The sequence below is a fragment of the Homo sapiens genome, chromosome 2 (genome assembly GCF_000001405.40).
Source record: "Homo sapiens chromosome 2, GRCh38.p14 Primary Assembly".
Lineage (NCBI taxonomy): Eukaryota > Metazoa > Chordata > Mammalia > Primates > Hominidae > Homo > Homo sapiens.
In genome coordinates, this window is record NC_000002.12 from 162,394,298 (window position 1) to 162,409,723 (window position 15,426).

The following is a 15,426-nucleotide window of genomic DNA, read 5'->3' on the forward strand; positions in this document are numbered from 1 at the left end:
ACTCTTGAAGTCAGAAGTAAAATGAACATTTAAGTAAGAAGGCTAATTACCACATGCTCTACATTTAAACTTTAGGAATGGAATGAATTACCTTTCTCTCCTTCACTTTCAAATGACAATTTCCTTCTTCTTAGTTTACAGTTGTCTCCTTCTGAATCATTCATGGATTGTGATCGTAGGAGATCAGCCTTTGTTAATGGAACATGAAGATAAAATGAAAGATTACTGAATTAGAACACAATGTACTATTCAGTAAACTGTTTACTATTTCATATTGTTTCAACCATCTTGAGACTTAATTATTAGATTGCAGGCAAACAGCTAAAATACCTTGCTTAATACTTGTCTCTTTATTGTAACATACACAGATAGAATAATTTTTAGTACTTTCACCATTTGCTGGGGAAATCATAGTGTAGGAGTTATTTATGTGAAATGTTTAGGGATGATGTCAACATTTAAAGATAAAATATTTCTTTATGTGGAATGTGTTTTATGCAACTTGATAAAGTTAAAATAAGAATAATACAGTTGACCCTTGAACAATACAGGCTTTAACTGTGCAGGTTCACTTATACATGAATTTTCTTTTTCCTCTGTTACTCCTCAGACAGCAAGACCAACCATTCCTCTTCCTCCTCCTCCATAGCCTATTAAATATGAAGATGATGAGATGATGATCTTTATGATAATCTACTCCCACTTAATTAATGGTAAATATATATCCTCATCCTTATGATTTTTTAATAATATTTTCTTTTCTATAGCTTACTTTATTGTAAGAATACATTTTATAAAAATATACAAAATATGTGTTCATTGACTGATTACATTATTGGTAAGGCTTCTAATAAATAGTAGGCTATCAGTAATTTAGTTTTTGTGGAGTCAAAAGTTATTTGCAGATTTTCAACTATACAAGGATTGGTGTTCTGAATTCCCATGTTGTTCAAAAGTCAATTGTAGTAATTTAAAGAACTTTGCATAACTAATAGTACTGCAAAGAAAAATGTGTAAAATAGTTAAAATTAGCTATGGTGTTTAAATGACATGGTAATTATCGTAAGGTTAAATTTCACAACAATAAATATAAGGTTAAATTCCATAAACATTACACTTTGAACCCTTTATTATTTTGCTCCCAGATCCTCCTTCTTCCCTCTCTGGTTCACTCTGTCTAATATTGTCTACCTTGTAAATAAAAATGGAAGCTCTTGTTTATTTGAGTACTGACTAAACTTTTATATAAAGAAGTTATGAGAGGTAGATATTTGTTACTTTTCAAGGCAAAGTCAGAATGAGGGTGGTGACATAAAACTAAGATTGGGACAAATTACTGAATTAAAACCATTACAAAAACATATGTTCTTAATAACTAGAATCTTTTTCCACTTCAATTAAAAAAAACTTTTCAGAGTTTTAAAAAGAAATAATTATCTGAACTGGTGTATCAGGGTATTAAATGGCATCTAGGGGCCCTTAAAATTCCTCTTTCTCTTTTAAGCCTCTCATGGTACTTGGGAATGTCTATAACTACAGCAAGTGTTAAATCTACCCCCTCTTACCTAACTATTGACTTTAGGGTTTTTTTCCCCAGAGAATATATTACTTAGCATTTAAATACACTGGCAAGTATCAATCACTCAATATTTGATTTCTGATTTAAAAAAGCATTTAGAATTAGAGTGGAGTTGTGAAATTTTGGGGGAAAAGGGATGGAAGAGGAATAACCTAGTAATAAATTTTTGGTTACAACGTAAGTTTTATAGCCATAGAACAGTAATAGCTCATAAGGGCACATTTTCACAGTAGAAAAGAGTAAGGAACATAAGAGCTACACTCGAAGTTCATTCTGGGTTAACTTACATATATAATTATTTAAACTATTATTTCTGTTAGACTACATATTCATTCTGCACCATTAAAACTGACAATACTGTAAAACCTGACTAATTTGTACTTCTGTGATTTGGAAATTGTATTAAATAGGAAACTAAACTTGAATGAGGTTAATTTTTTCATTATTATTGTGAAGACACTGATAACCAATGTACAGTGTAAATAATAGCTGAGAGAATATTCTAACCTCTGTATAAGATAAACTCAAGTAATTTTCAACAGCCTAAAATCACCCATTTCTAGCAAATAATTGGCACACTATAAACAAAGGCTATTTTAACTCAAGTGTGGCACCTAAGGGCTTCTACAAGGTCAAACCTAATTGAACTACTTGAAATTATTCAACGTATTGGAAAGCAATTAGGCTAAATTTCTTTCCTATAATTCAGAAATTTTAATATTCAGTTGGCCTTTCCTTCCAAATATTCAGAATTGGTAAAGTCTTGCTGCAATATTTTGCTTGATTTTTCAGAAGTATTTGTGCAATTCAAGAATAAAATAAAATGTCAGAAATACAGACATAAGCAAACAGTTAACATATACCTTTGCGCTCTCATGCCTTAGGTTGAAAGTCAACTCTAGGTTTGTTAGAAAGTGATCAGAAAACTCAGGATACATATCCAAAACCTCTAACAAGTCTTCTCGCTGAATCTTATGCAAGTCACAGTATGTGAGGGCTCTTACATCTGCATTAGACTTTCCAGGTTTGGCATAAAGATGAACCATTTCTCCAAATATATCATTTTTTCCTAAGAAAATATAAAGAAAAAGAGGCGGGGAAAGGGAATCCAAACTCAATGTTCTCCTTCTAAAAGTAGAAGGGGGTCATTAAACAATTGATCAATCCCTGAACCAGACTTGGTGAGCAATGTTCCAGCACCTTAACTAAATGCCCATACCATGTTTGGTGAGTGGAAATTTGTCTCTAAGGGTGATTGGTCCTTTTATTTCCTTGCTTTGGTTACTTGACTAAGCATCTAGAATGTAGCGAACATTATCTTCAGTCCTGTATACCCCACTTTGCTAGCAAAGGGTCGTACCATAGAGTATTTTAAATATACTTTCAGGTAGGTGTACTCTGATTTTTTCAATTCAGGAATATGAGAAAGGCTGCAGTGAGTCAGATTCATGATCTTTCTGTCTCGGGATGGTCTCTGCAGGTGGTGCTCAGCAAGGGGTTGTGGTGGAGCTGTTTTAACACTTAGTGGATTGGAGGAACAATTGGAACACACCTTGTTTCCTAATAACCACTTTTGAATCTGCCCTTAAAAAATATGCCCAATTGCTTAATAAATCTAGTTATAATTCTCAACATATGTAGTCCTGCTTTTTGTTATATGGCCTTTGTTAGGGAAATTTGTCCTTCTTGCTCTTCTGTAAAATCTAGGGTTATTTCAGTGTCTCGCTTCTAACAGGACTTCCCCATCACCTCTGTGTAGCCACATACTACCTGCTTTTCAAGGTCTTATTCCATGACAAAGATAAGAACTACAGCAACAATAACAAATATTTATTGAGGACTAGTAGGTGCCAGGCACTGTGTCAAATGCTTAGGTGCATTGCCTCAATTTGTTCCTAAAATAACTTCATGAAGGAATTACTAATAATTATCCACATTTTATGAATACAGAAAGAGCATTAAAGAGATAAACTGATTAGCCTAACATCACCTTCTTAGTTGAATGAAGTGGAGGGAGGGAGAGAACAGCCAGAACTAAATCCCATGCATCCTGATTCCAGATGCATCCAGAGTCAAAGTTCTTGCACACCTGATACTGTGTATCTAAGTATCTAATCTCTTTCCAGTGATTTCCCTGAATGTCATGGCCACTTAGATTTTTCTGTTTCTGACTATCAAAGTACTTAAAAACTGTACTTGTGGTATATATACTTAATACATACTGATATATTACTTGATTATGTAACTTCTAAAGATAATCAATGGCAATGTAAAATAGTACTCTCCTGTGTCTATCCTGAAGCTTCTTTTCATTTTTAGAAAAAACTCCTTGGGTATATTATTTTAGATTTTGGTAGACAAGTTCTTGTACACCTCACTGTAGAAGCTATCAAAGACTTTTAAGTAATAAGGTTCTAATTAGTCAAAAATGCTATAATATTCTTGTTTTACAAAGGAATTCAATAGTGAGAAATCAAACACTGTATCTTAACTACGTAAGAAAAATCGACATTAGAAAGGATACATTAACCACAGTTTAAATAAATATGTATCAGCCTTCCAAAAATAGGATAAATGATCATAATTTGTAAGGATTTTAGGGGCTGACTTATATGGAAGTAGGGACAGAAAAGGGTAATTTCCTGACATTCTTTATAGTTTTGGTAGCTCAGTATAGATATTATTGTTTTTAAAAAAGACCTGAATTAAATTAAGCATGGGCTTTGTATTTCAATTACCAACATGACTGTAAATGAGCCAGGAGCAAGCCAGTCCATGGATATGTCTTAGCAACACTCTAAAATTACTACTTGATAAAGCAAGAAAGCTTATTACCTTCTTGTAGAAGCTAGGACTGGCTGACTTGAAGATCAGAAATGCAATGAAGCATCCTCCTTCCCTGGCAACATAGCAGGGCAAACTGTCTATGCCAAATTTAGTGAAAACCTAACTTGATTGTGTGGCCTTAAAATGATTTAGAATATGTGTTTATTCTTTGTCAGCTTATTGGTTAGAAAACCAAATTTGGGAAATGTAAAAAAAAACTAATATAATAAAATTATCAAAATATATAAGAAAATCATGTGAGCATCTTTATTCATGTATTTGAGTCTGTGCCATGCCATACTCTGGTTCTACACAGCAGCAGGGAAAACAGACAACATCCCTGTCCTGTTGGAGAGAACCATCATATGTGAACATCAAAAGCTAAGTGAGAGAAAATCATTGAATTACATGCCCATTATTTAAGTGGAGCTGGATAATCCACAGGAGAAAAATGCAAATTTTTACAGAAACTAAGGATAGGCGTTATCATAGGGAGAGTGAGGCTTAAACCTACCGGCTATGTGGTAGGAGAAAAGAAGAATTGACTGCATTTTTCTCTGTTTCCTTGCTCTTCCCCAGTGTCCTAATATTCTAAAGAAGTACTACAAGTTCACATGGCCTAAATTTATTTTTATTTTTATTATTTATTATTTTTATTTTTTTAAGTTTTTAAAATTTTTTTATTATACTTTAAGTTCTAGGGTACATGTGCACAACGTGCAGGTTTGTTACATATGTATACGTGTGCCATGTTGGTGTGCTGCACCCATTAACTCATCATTTACATTAGGTATATCTCCTAATGCTATCCCTCCCCTCTCTCCACACCTCACGACAGGCCCCAGTGTGTGTACATGGCCTAAATTTATTTTTAAAGAGGCAGATTAAACATGTGTTTTCTTTTGCACCCAAACCAGTTGAAGTTATGACTAATTTAATCTCTTCATCACTTCTATCACTGGTTGTTAAGTTTATAGGTCTATATTAATTACCTAGTTAAGGACTGTATGATTCCATTTAATCCGACGCGGCAGGTAAAAATGCACAATGAATAAATGAAATTCATCAAAACATAAACCCAGTTCATGACAGGGCTTTGGCACATGCTAGCAAGTATTTCCTACAACACATATATTTTATTTTAAGGTGTTGAGGGATCAAGCATGAAGCTAAGATCTTCTAACATAAAAAAAGAATATGCTTACTATTTTCCTATATTTGGCCTCAAATGTCTAGGTAGCTGCCAAGAACTGAAGAGAATCATCGAAGCATTTACACTTCGGAGAAAAAGTGAGACAGTTAAGAAAACATATTTTCTGAAAGGTTAATTTGGTTTGAACTGAATTTTAAATGCAGCTTTCAAATTACCCACCATCTTAAACTGTTCTTATGAATACATACATCAGTCTTTTTTTCCTAATCATTTTAAACTATGCATTACAAGCTAATAACTGAATCTGTCACCATGCACTTCTAAAACACTCACCCAGAATAGCCACCACAATGTCATCTTTGAGAATTTCAATGGAGCCTCTGGATAAGAAATAAAGTGCAGTGAGGACATCCCCACAGTGAACGAGGGTGTCTCCTGGAGGTGCATGGGTGGTTTTGAACTTCATTGCCAAAGCTCTAAGGCAACCTTTACTTGCCCCCCGAAAGGCTTTGCAGTTTTGCAGCAATGTCTGGTTGAGATGTAGACAAATGTCTGCTTGTAAGCATTCTGGGAAACCCTTTAGGACCTGAGGAAAAAAAGAAAGAGTTTCATACTACCAGTGTTCTGGGTATCTCTGCCTGAAATACAGTCAATTTCTTGCTCACAGAACTGCAGGTGTAGTCATTGCCACGCAGGAGTTCCTACTACTCTTCTACCTCGCCTACCTTAATGAATACTTGATTTGCTAAACATGTCAAAATTTTTAACTCAAATACTTGTTCTCTGAATTAACTGCAGGCATTCAGACTCAATACAAATGCTGTCTCATTAAAATATAATGCCTACAACTTTTCACACTGCTTCTCTTTCCCTGCATTATGTTATGTGGCATACTGTGCACAGATATAATGCAATGTGACAATTAATAAGACGTAACTAATGAAAGGTGGTACAACTAGAAAGACAATCAACCTTTTGAAAGAATCTCAAGTCAATTTAGGTTGCCATTTCTGGTATACATCTAAGTTATAATTAGTAAAAATGTTGACCCTGAAATAGTCATGGTATTGGTAAATGTCATGTAACAGAGTGTGCTATTAGTTTACAGTATTTGGAATATTTATGTTTCATATGCACATTATTAATACTAAATATTTTGATAAGCACTGAAAATAGAGAAAGGCGAGGAGAACAGCAAAGACACTTTAAAAGTGTAGTCCGATATTCAGAAATGGAAATTGCACCAGAATTTGCAGTGCATACATAAGCTTCTAAAGTGCTACTGTTTTGACAACCTATTCAGGGCTAATTTAAAACTTGTTGAACAGATTAAACAATAGCTTGTGACAACTGCTACTCAATCTGAACTGAATAAAATTATTTGCTATTTTCATACAATTCTCAATATACAATGATTCAAAGGCATTCAACTCTTGCTTCTCTGTGTCTTGCTATTTTGGGTGGCGTATGTAGATTTTAATTTTTATGTTGACATTCTCCTACCAGTACAAGCAGACTCATTTAAATACACTTTGAGGTGGAGGAATGGGGCATTATATAGTGCAATTTACAGTGCAATGATGCAATTTGGGCATTTCCTATCTTTTTGGATCAACCTTGTTATGCCATCCAATATAGCTAAAAGTAACCATGAATTGTTTGTAAGGCAATTTCAATGTATTTGGCTCACAGAGGAACTTCAAATTAAATCATATGAGAAAAAAACATACAATTATTACTATTTTTAAATATTCAAGTAAGCACAAGGATCCTACTGTGTATAGGATCACTGTGTAATGCAAGTGGTCAGACTGATATATTATAAAGAGGACCAATAGGATACCTGAAGCATAATAGTCATGATTTTCTGCTCTTGTTTTCTTCACTGTATGGAATCACTCACAGAAATGAATAGGGAGCATTTTAGATAAAAATTGATAGAACTGAATTCTGGTCATGGATTTGCCACAGGTTGACTCTTGTACAAGTCACTTCACCAATCTGTGTTTCTCTACCGTAGAATGAGAATCTTTGCAATATTGAATTTAGCCATAATTTCAATAAACTACTCATAAATAGTGTGCCAATTGTTAGACACAGCTCATCCAGCTCGGTGCTGCTACAGGAACTCAGGTTTTCATCCTGAAGAGTCTGTATTTCCTTGCTCAGGTCCAAACAAAATATGCCTCCCTTTGATAAGAGTTTCTGGGCACTCATCTGTAATCTCTCCCCTTAACTGTAACTGTTGGGCTTGGTCTACATGACTGGACTCCTTCCAGGTTCCCTGCTTGATGGAAGACCTCTCCTACATGATAACTTGCCTAGTCTGTGCCTGTTTCTGCCTCCAGGTCCTGGAGGCCCTTTCTACTCTTTGTTGGAATCTTATATCAACTCAGCTTTTCACATGGAAGCAATTATCTGGGTCATTGATCCCTTCTACCATTTAAACCACTTCATTGGACTCTTTGGCAAGTGATGCCAAACTGGAGTTGAACTAAATTTGGACACAGCATTCTAAAATGCTGGCCACTTTGCTTGGGGGCCAGCATTTTAGAGTGTTGTGGCCAAATTTAGTTCAACTCCAGTTTGGAGGTTGTATAGAATAAAAATACCCTAGTTTACACAGGCCTCTGCATATGAATTACCTCTCCTCCCTGAAGCCCACTGCTGTGGTCTCTGAATAATTCTAAGTAGCCCCATGCAGATAAAGATGTATAAAGCATTACACCAAGTAACAAAACAAATGAATTCATCTGTCTTTTAAGATTCACCTGTAATAAGGTACATAAAGGCATTTTAGATTTCACATGAAGAAGATATTGCTATGATTATAGTAGTTAGCATAAGAATACTGAGCTACTGAGCCTGTAGCTGCATTTCTGGCATTTTCCCTTAAGTATCCTTAAGTAAAACTTGGTATAGAAAAAAATTGCGTGTGTGTGTGTGTGCATGTCTGTGTGTGTGCATGCACATACACATACATGTGTATTCACACATGCTTTGAGTTGGAAGAGAGAAAAGAGATAGAGATGAGATTCTCCATTTCCCTGAATGTGTTATATGAGCTATGGAATCAGACAGGCTTGATCCAGAGTTCTAGCTCCATCATTTACTAGTTTGACTTTGGTCAAATTACTTAACTTCTCTGAAAATCAGTTTCTTTTTTTGGGAAAGCTAAATTAATAACATGTATTTCACAGAGTTGTGGCCACAATTTAAATAAGAATGTGCGTAAACCCTTTGATTCACAAAAGATTTTTAATAGACAATATACTTTGGACTTCCTCTGTCTTTTGGTCCAAATTTATTGTTTCTGAAAAATTAGTATAATCTTTTTAGTTAGGAATAGAAAGCCAAAAATCTATTATGTTTTGTCTTTGGTCTGCCTGATAGGGTATTCTCCACTAAGTTTTGTGTTCTATTGCCTCAGCAGAGTTTAAATGTTTTGTGCATCATTGCATCACCGCTTTAAGAATTCTTTTTCCTTGCATCTCGCTATAATTCTTGTTTCCTGTTTCTGGCTTGTTATATGTCCTGCAGTATTTGCACTTAGGTTGTCACTGTGAGTAGCCCTAAATCCCTTTTGAAATTAGGCAGTTACTAAAATCAATGTACAGATATGTTATCGGAATTCCAACAGTTTTAGAATCACCCACAGAACTTTAAGGATGCTTCAGAAAGTTTTTTCTTATTAACTGTCCTCTGCCCCCAACATTCATTCTATTGGAAGTGACACCCATTGGAAAGGATAACATCAAGTTGGAGCTGCTGTTGTTGCATGGAGAAGATACAATGTTGGCATGAACTTGCCTAGGTTAAGGACTTCTCATATGATGTTAGCCCTTAACAGATTTTCTTAATTTTCTTAAGTCAGTCACATAGATCACTGAAGTAAAACTCGATAAAATTAAGAGCCAGTTGTTGAATGTCTGATTAGTTCTATAGTTTTAATGTCCCAAATAAGTTAGCAGCTCTAGGATCTGGGTTCTGTCTAAGTAAAGAAACTTTAAAAGGGAGAGTTAAGAGTGGGAGCTATAGTGGAATAGAGGTAGAAGTACATTGAAAAAAGTCTGAAATAAGAGGTAGGCTTAAGAAGATATTTATCCAGGGCACCCCTTTTCATTGGCCTCAGCTATATTGCCTTCTTGGCTTCCTGTTCATTGCACTTTTTTGTTTCTTTGTTTTCAGGGTTGGTTCCCTTGTTAAACTCTCTGACATAGGACCTCCTCATTTATGACTCAGATACTGGCATTTTACCAGTCCTGGCAGATCTGGCTACAAAGAGTTGCTATGTCAGGACGCATGCTGATTTGGTGATTGTTATATCTATTTCCACTATACTATACACAGCTTTCTTGACTGTCCATGCTTGAAGTTTTGAAGGAACATATCACCTTCCACTGTGTATTTGAAGCCATGGTTTTATTGAGGCAATCTAATTTTAAAGACCAAGAAACACCACCCAGAATCAGTTTCACTGTCTGCAGCTTGAAACAGAAGTTATCATTCTTTTAGCAAATACTTATTATTTGCTAAAAGAATGCTAGATATGGTTTGGATATTTGTCCCATCCATCTCATGTTGAAATATTACCCATAATGTCAGAGACGAAGCCTGATGTGAGGTGTTTGGTCATGGGGGTTGATTCCCCATGGTTTGGTGCTGTCTTCATGATAGCAAGTGAGCTCTCATGAAATCTGGTTGTTTAAAAGTGTGTAACACCTCCTTCCACTCTCTCTCTTGCTCCTGCTCCTGCCATGTGACATATCTGCTCCCTTTTCACCTTCTGCCATGACCGTAAGTTCCTGAGGCCTCTGCAGGAGCCGAGCAGATGCTAGCACCATGCTTGTACAGCCTGCAGAACCATAAGCCAATTAAACTTCTTTTATTTATAAATTACCCAGTCTCAGGTACTTCTTTATAGCAATGCAAGAACAGCTGAATACACTGCTATATGCTAGGCACTATGCTAAGCATGGGAGCATAACAATGAATTAAACATGTCTGAAATTATATCTGGACTTAAAGCCTTTCTCTAAATGCCCAAATTAAAACAAAAAATTACAGGGATAACCTGAATTTCCCACACTCTACTTTCACATCAAATTTGGACATTTATATTGTACATTTATAATACTAATGATTGTTCAAAGAAATTCTCAAGGTAAGAATTCATTTAAGGTAAATAAAAAGCTCTAATTTCATTTCTCAAATACTGGCTTGTATGGGGAAAGATTTTAAAAATTTCAAGTTCCAGAAAATTTTTTCAAGGCTGCTACAGATCCTTTATCTTTATTTTGATATAAGGTCACTGGAATATTTTACACATGTATTAACTTCCCTTTACTTGAATTTATATGAATACAACTCTTTGGGACTTTCAAAGTTACTTCGTGACTTACAAATGAGAATTTGTTCTTTTAAGTGAATATGAAATGCTTTCTGTGATTGTTAAATCAATCCTGTAGTTAAGTATTTGAGGACCCCAAATTTAAAGACATTCAAACACAAATAACCCAACAACAACAAAACATAATAACATTATTAAATCAGAGTAAAACTCATAAAAGATATCACACAAAACAAAGAGAGAGCAAAAATGAAAGTAGTATTTCATACTAAACATCTATCAAATATGACCAGACATTAATTCAGAAGTATTCAAATTTATGTAAAACTTCTCTAAAATGTATATGTGCTGACATGCACTTAATGGCATACAATTATAATATTGTTAATATTCATAATTAAGTAGTATGTGGATTCAAATTTTCTTGTGCCGAGTAATGAATGCAAAAATGAATGTGTGCCAAAGTTAATATAAGCCTGAACTTCTGATTTGATGTATGTGCTTATCAAAATGACATGTCTTATTAACTTTTAATAAGTAATTCTTTAAATTTAAACTTATACATTTATACCAGTAAAATAATTATAGTATCTATTTTATGTGTTGGAGCACAAATGGAAAACAAGTTTAGCTCAGGCCTGTGACAGATTATAATTAAAGAAATATGTCCTAGGCTTCAGCCAGTGGAGTCAGAAGGGAGCAATATCCTAATAAATGAAGTTATTTTTCCTATTTTTATATGTCACTCTTCTGTCACCTTTCAAGGAGAAAAGATAGATATTCATCTACTTAATCAAATTTTACCTGGCTGCTGATAAAAGATAGCCAAATAGATTTAAATATTCATAATGTATTGACAATAAACTATTACTCTTTCCTCAAATTAAAAGTACAAGATTCAATATTTGCTGTTTCTAAGCCCAAGTTCCAAAACACTCTTATGGTGGTTATACTTTCTCGATTCTGTTTGGATAAGTGTCAACAATTGAGCTGGTTCCTTTTTTTTTAAACGCCAGAACAAGTCTCTCCAGGCTCCTTCCGTAGGATTGTAAACTCCTGTATTTGCTTTCTGAAAAGAATCAAAATGTATTCTCTAATAGATACCCCACATCTAGATAGTATGAGAAGGTTTATCTATGTTGTAATGAATGGTTTTTGATTTATTTCACTTAGTATAGTTGCAGGGGGTAGCATTCCCAAAGGCAGCCTGAATAAGGCACATTTAGGAAGTCTGAGTGTGGCAAATGACTCCTCTAAATAGCACATTAATCATATGGATGACTTTGGCGGCTGTGATAACTGACATTAGGAAATTTTCTAGGGAAATTTTCTGGGTCATTAAATATACTTAAATCTTGACAAATTAGGATTAATTAAAACACAAATTAACACTCCCTATGAAACACTAAACCTCAAGCATGATTATCAAATAGATGAGTAATATATTAAAAACTTAAATCTCTGTCCTAGCATACAGCTTTAATATTTTATAGCCTTTCCTGATTCTGGTAAAATTATTGTTTTCAATGTAAGCATTCAGCATCTAAAAAATCTTTAGCACTTGTAAGATACTAAACCCTGCTTTTTGTTGTTTGTAAAAGCTAACGTCCCAACATAATGGATTCTGTAATTTCTAGGTCGTTTAAGATCATTTTATTCCTGTGGGTTAGCCATTGAGAAATAGGAAACATACATATTTCCTGTTTGGCAATTACATGTTTAATATTCCATTGTAACCACTGATCATGATAGGTGAACTCTTATAGGTGTTTTAATCTTACAAATATGTATTGTCTAGTTTGAAGCCCAAATTGTTTCATCATCTAATTTCTTATTTTACTTTCATGTGGCTGAAGAAAAAATAAGGAAAGATTTTCTTGTATAAACATCACATAAGGCCAGATTGTTGTCAAAGCAGAGCATTATGGAATCCACAACTGTGGGAATATTTATCAGCGTTGAGAGAATAAACTAAATTTCTTCATGTAGCTTTTCAACATTTGGCATATGATTTATATCCCTTAGGGAAAAAAATATGGGCAGAATAAAAACCTGTCACACACGGACAGAGATGACAATGTTGTAAATCCCGAACCAGTTTTGATAATGTAAAGAGTCCTTGAAAAATGAAACAGAATTATCCTTCCTACTTCTCCTGCAATTCCAGTTAACAGCATAACTATGAGATGTTGCACTGCTTTCAGAAGGAAACTTAAACTTTATCCTGATCCAAATTAAGTCAGGGCCAAGGATGGGTAGAAGTGTGGGTGATGATGTGTAGGCAGAGGGGATTTATTGCTTTCATACACATGTCCTTGTTACCCAGGCTCTGGAGTCCTTGTGTTAATTCCGCAAAAGGCTGACTTAAAAAGGGTGTCTCTGGATTTCTAAAATGAGGTCTCAGGGGAAAACTTGGAACCCATTAAGGTTTCTAAGGGCAACAGGAGGGATCTGCATCCTGAGGAGCAGTGTCAGGACCTCTCCTCCTTGCCCCTGCTCAATTATTTGAGAGAGGTAGTGGGGGAAGGGATGAACAGAACATAACCATAGTGGATTCTGTTGGATGCTCTACAAATAGTTCTTCCCAAATGGATTGATTGTAGATGACCTTAGCTTGCCTATAAAATAAGGAAAAAGGAGGTACAGTCTACCAGGTGATGAAAAGAATAATTTAAAAACCAACATGTACTTAAAATACCATCTTGAACTTGAATCAAGTTTTATGGTTTCGGAAACATTTATCACGTATCGTATTTTAGCATCAAATTTTTTATTGAGTTGTCAACATCATGTGGGGAATATACATTGGCAATCACCCCAGTTTTCAAATTTGAAAGCAGAGACAATGCATTAGGAATTTTATTTGTAGAAGGACAAAGACTCCAAACTTACTCCAGGGCTCCTTCAACCATTTTGACTCGCCATTGCTGTCCATCAAATTGGCTTTCTAAAGTTGCTAAAAGAATAGTTAGACATAAAATGTTTCCCATTCATCTAATTTTTTGGTTTTATAGAAAAGTAATAAAGGATAGAAATCTAGCACAGATGATCTTTTCATTTTTTACCAATTGGGTATTGTTTCTTGGGAATTTTAAGACTGGACAACAATTGTTTTTGAGGGAAAGCAGATGGCTGTATTAGTAGTTATCCAACATTTTGTAAAATATTGGAAGCTTTCAAAATAGCGGAAGTTATCTTCCTCTACCTAACAAATTCCCCTCCTATAAAATGTATTGACTGTTAACTTGGCACTCCGAATGTTCCAAATACCAATGTATCTACATACATTTTTGCTTCTAACACTCGAGTCATAAAACAGCTGTGTGTGCTCCAAACCTATTTATGCCAGCTGAACTTGTTAATGGAATTACATCATTCAATCATATCATACATAAAAGAATAAAATTTTGTGTAAAGAAGGAAAACACTATCTCCCCCTGCCTATCCCAACTATAAAAATAAAGATGAATGTTTCAGAAATCTTTTATAAAGGTGGGTCATTAAGAAAAATGCAACCAGATTGTTAGATTAGGTGTGGGATCTTAAATATCTGAAAAGTAGAAATTTTATAGTCACTAAACTCTGATTATAATCCAAGAAATAAGGAAAAACAATTAAAAAGTAACCATAAAAAAGGAGTGCTTAGAAATTAAGAACAATACTCGATGATAATTTTGTGATAAAAAATGAAACAATTTAGAAAACAATAAAAATGATAATATTTCATTTTAATACCTGTAGAACCACAGAAAAACTTGTATTAAAAGAAATATGTATACTCAATGCCTTCATTATCAAAAATAAAGACTCAAACAATAGCATAATACAAATGTTAAGAATAGTAAAGTTATCAAAAAAATAAGAAAAAGGTAATTAATGGAGGCAAATGCTGAAAATGAAAAGAACAGTAGCAAGCTAGCTTAAATACATCTAAGGGCTAATTCCGTGAATAAAATCAAATAGAATATATAAATCTTTCAAAGATCTGCTGAAGGAAAGAAGAGAGAGAGAAAAAATATGCAAGTTCAGGAATAAGAAAAGCAGAGGCATGGGCTGATACAGAAAATATTATTTTATAAAAGAAGCTTATGTGGAATTGTGGAACTGTGGAAACCTAAATAACACACATGAATTCTTGATAAAATGGAAATTATTATATTGACTAAAGAAGAAGTAGAACAAATAATTACCGAGTAGGAGAGGTGATTAAAGATACACTATTGAAACAACCAGATGATTTTACAACTGATTTCTTTCTAACACTTGAAGAGCATATAACCACCAATGAATATAATTATAAAATAGATGCAAAATACTAAACAATTGACTAACCAATAATATCAACAATGTATCAAAAAATCTATAACCAGAAGTCCTACCCAGAGGAATTAGATAAGAAAGAGAAATAAAAGGCATCCAAATAATAAGTCAAACTATCTGTCTTTGCAGACGATATGATTCTGTATCTAGAAAATGCTATACACTCCAACAGAATACTTCTAGGTTTAATAAACAGAT

General features: G+C 34.2%; 1 protein-coding gene across 5 annotated transcripts in view, besides 1 other annotated feature; it reads right to left on the bottom strand.

The window, feature by feature from the left end:
• The window catches only part of KCNH7 (potassium voltage-gated channel subfamily H member 7), a 467,361-nt gene that overhangs the window by 22,891 nt on the left and 429,044 nt on the right, over window positions 1–15,426 (bottom strand). For 3 of the 5 annotated variants that reach the window (XM_017005220.3, NM_033272.4, XM_011512109.4), the window contains 3 exons: window positions 5,892–6,144; window positions 2,443–2,648; window positions 92–188 (listed from right to left, as the gene is read on the bottom strand). In XM_017005220.3, the coding sequence (XP_016860709.1) occupies window positions 92–188; window positions 2,443–2,648; window positions 5,892–6,144 (556 nt within the window). The remainder of the gene's footprint in view (window positions 1–91; window positions 189–2,442; window positions 2,649–5,891; window positions 6,145–15,426) is intronic. The other 2 variants (XM_017005219.3, XM_017005218.3) reach the window with 1 other exon arrangement.
• Window positions 3,032–3,201: an enhancer, noted in NCBI's record as "experimental_55234 CRE fragment used in MPRA reporter constructs". NCBI's record gives its function as "activates a minimal promoter by MPRAs in K562 erythroleukemia cells, with activity observed for both the introgressed and non-introgressed 2:163253924 variant alleles {active_cell/tissue: K562}" and the evidence as "EXISTENCE:reporter gene assay evidence [ECO:0000049][PMID:34662402]".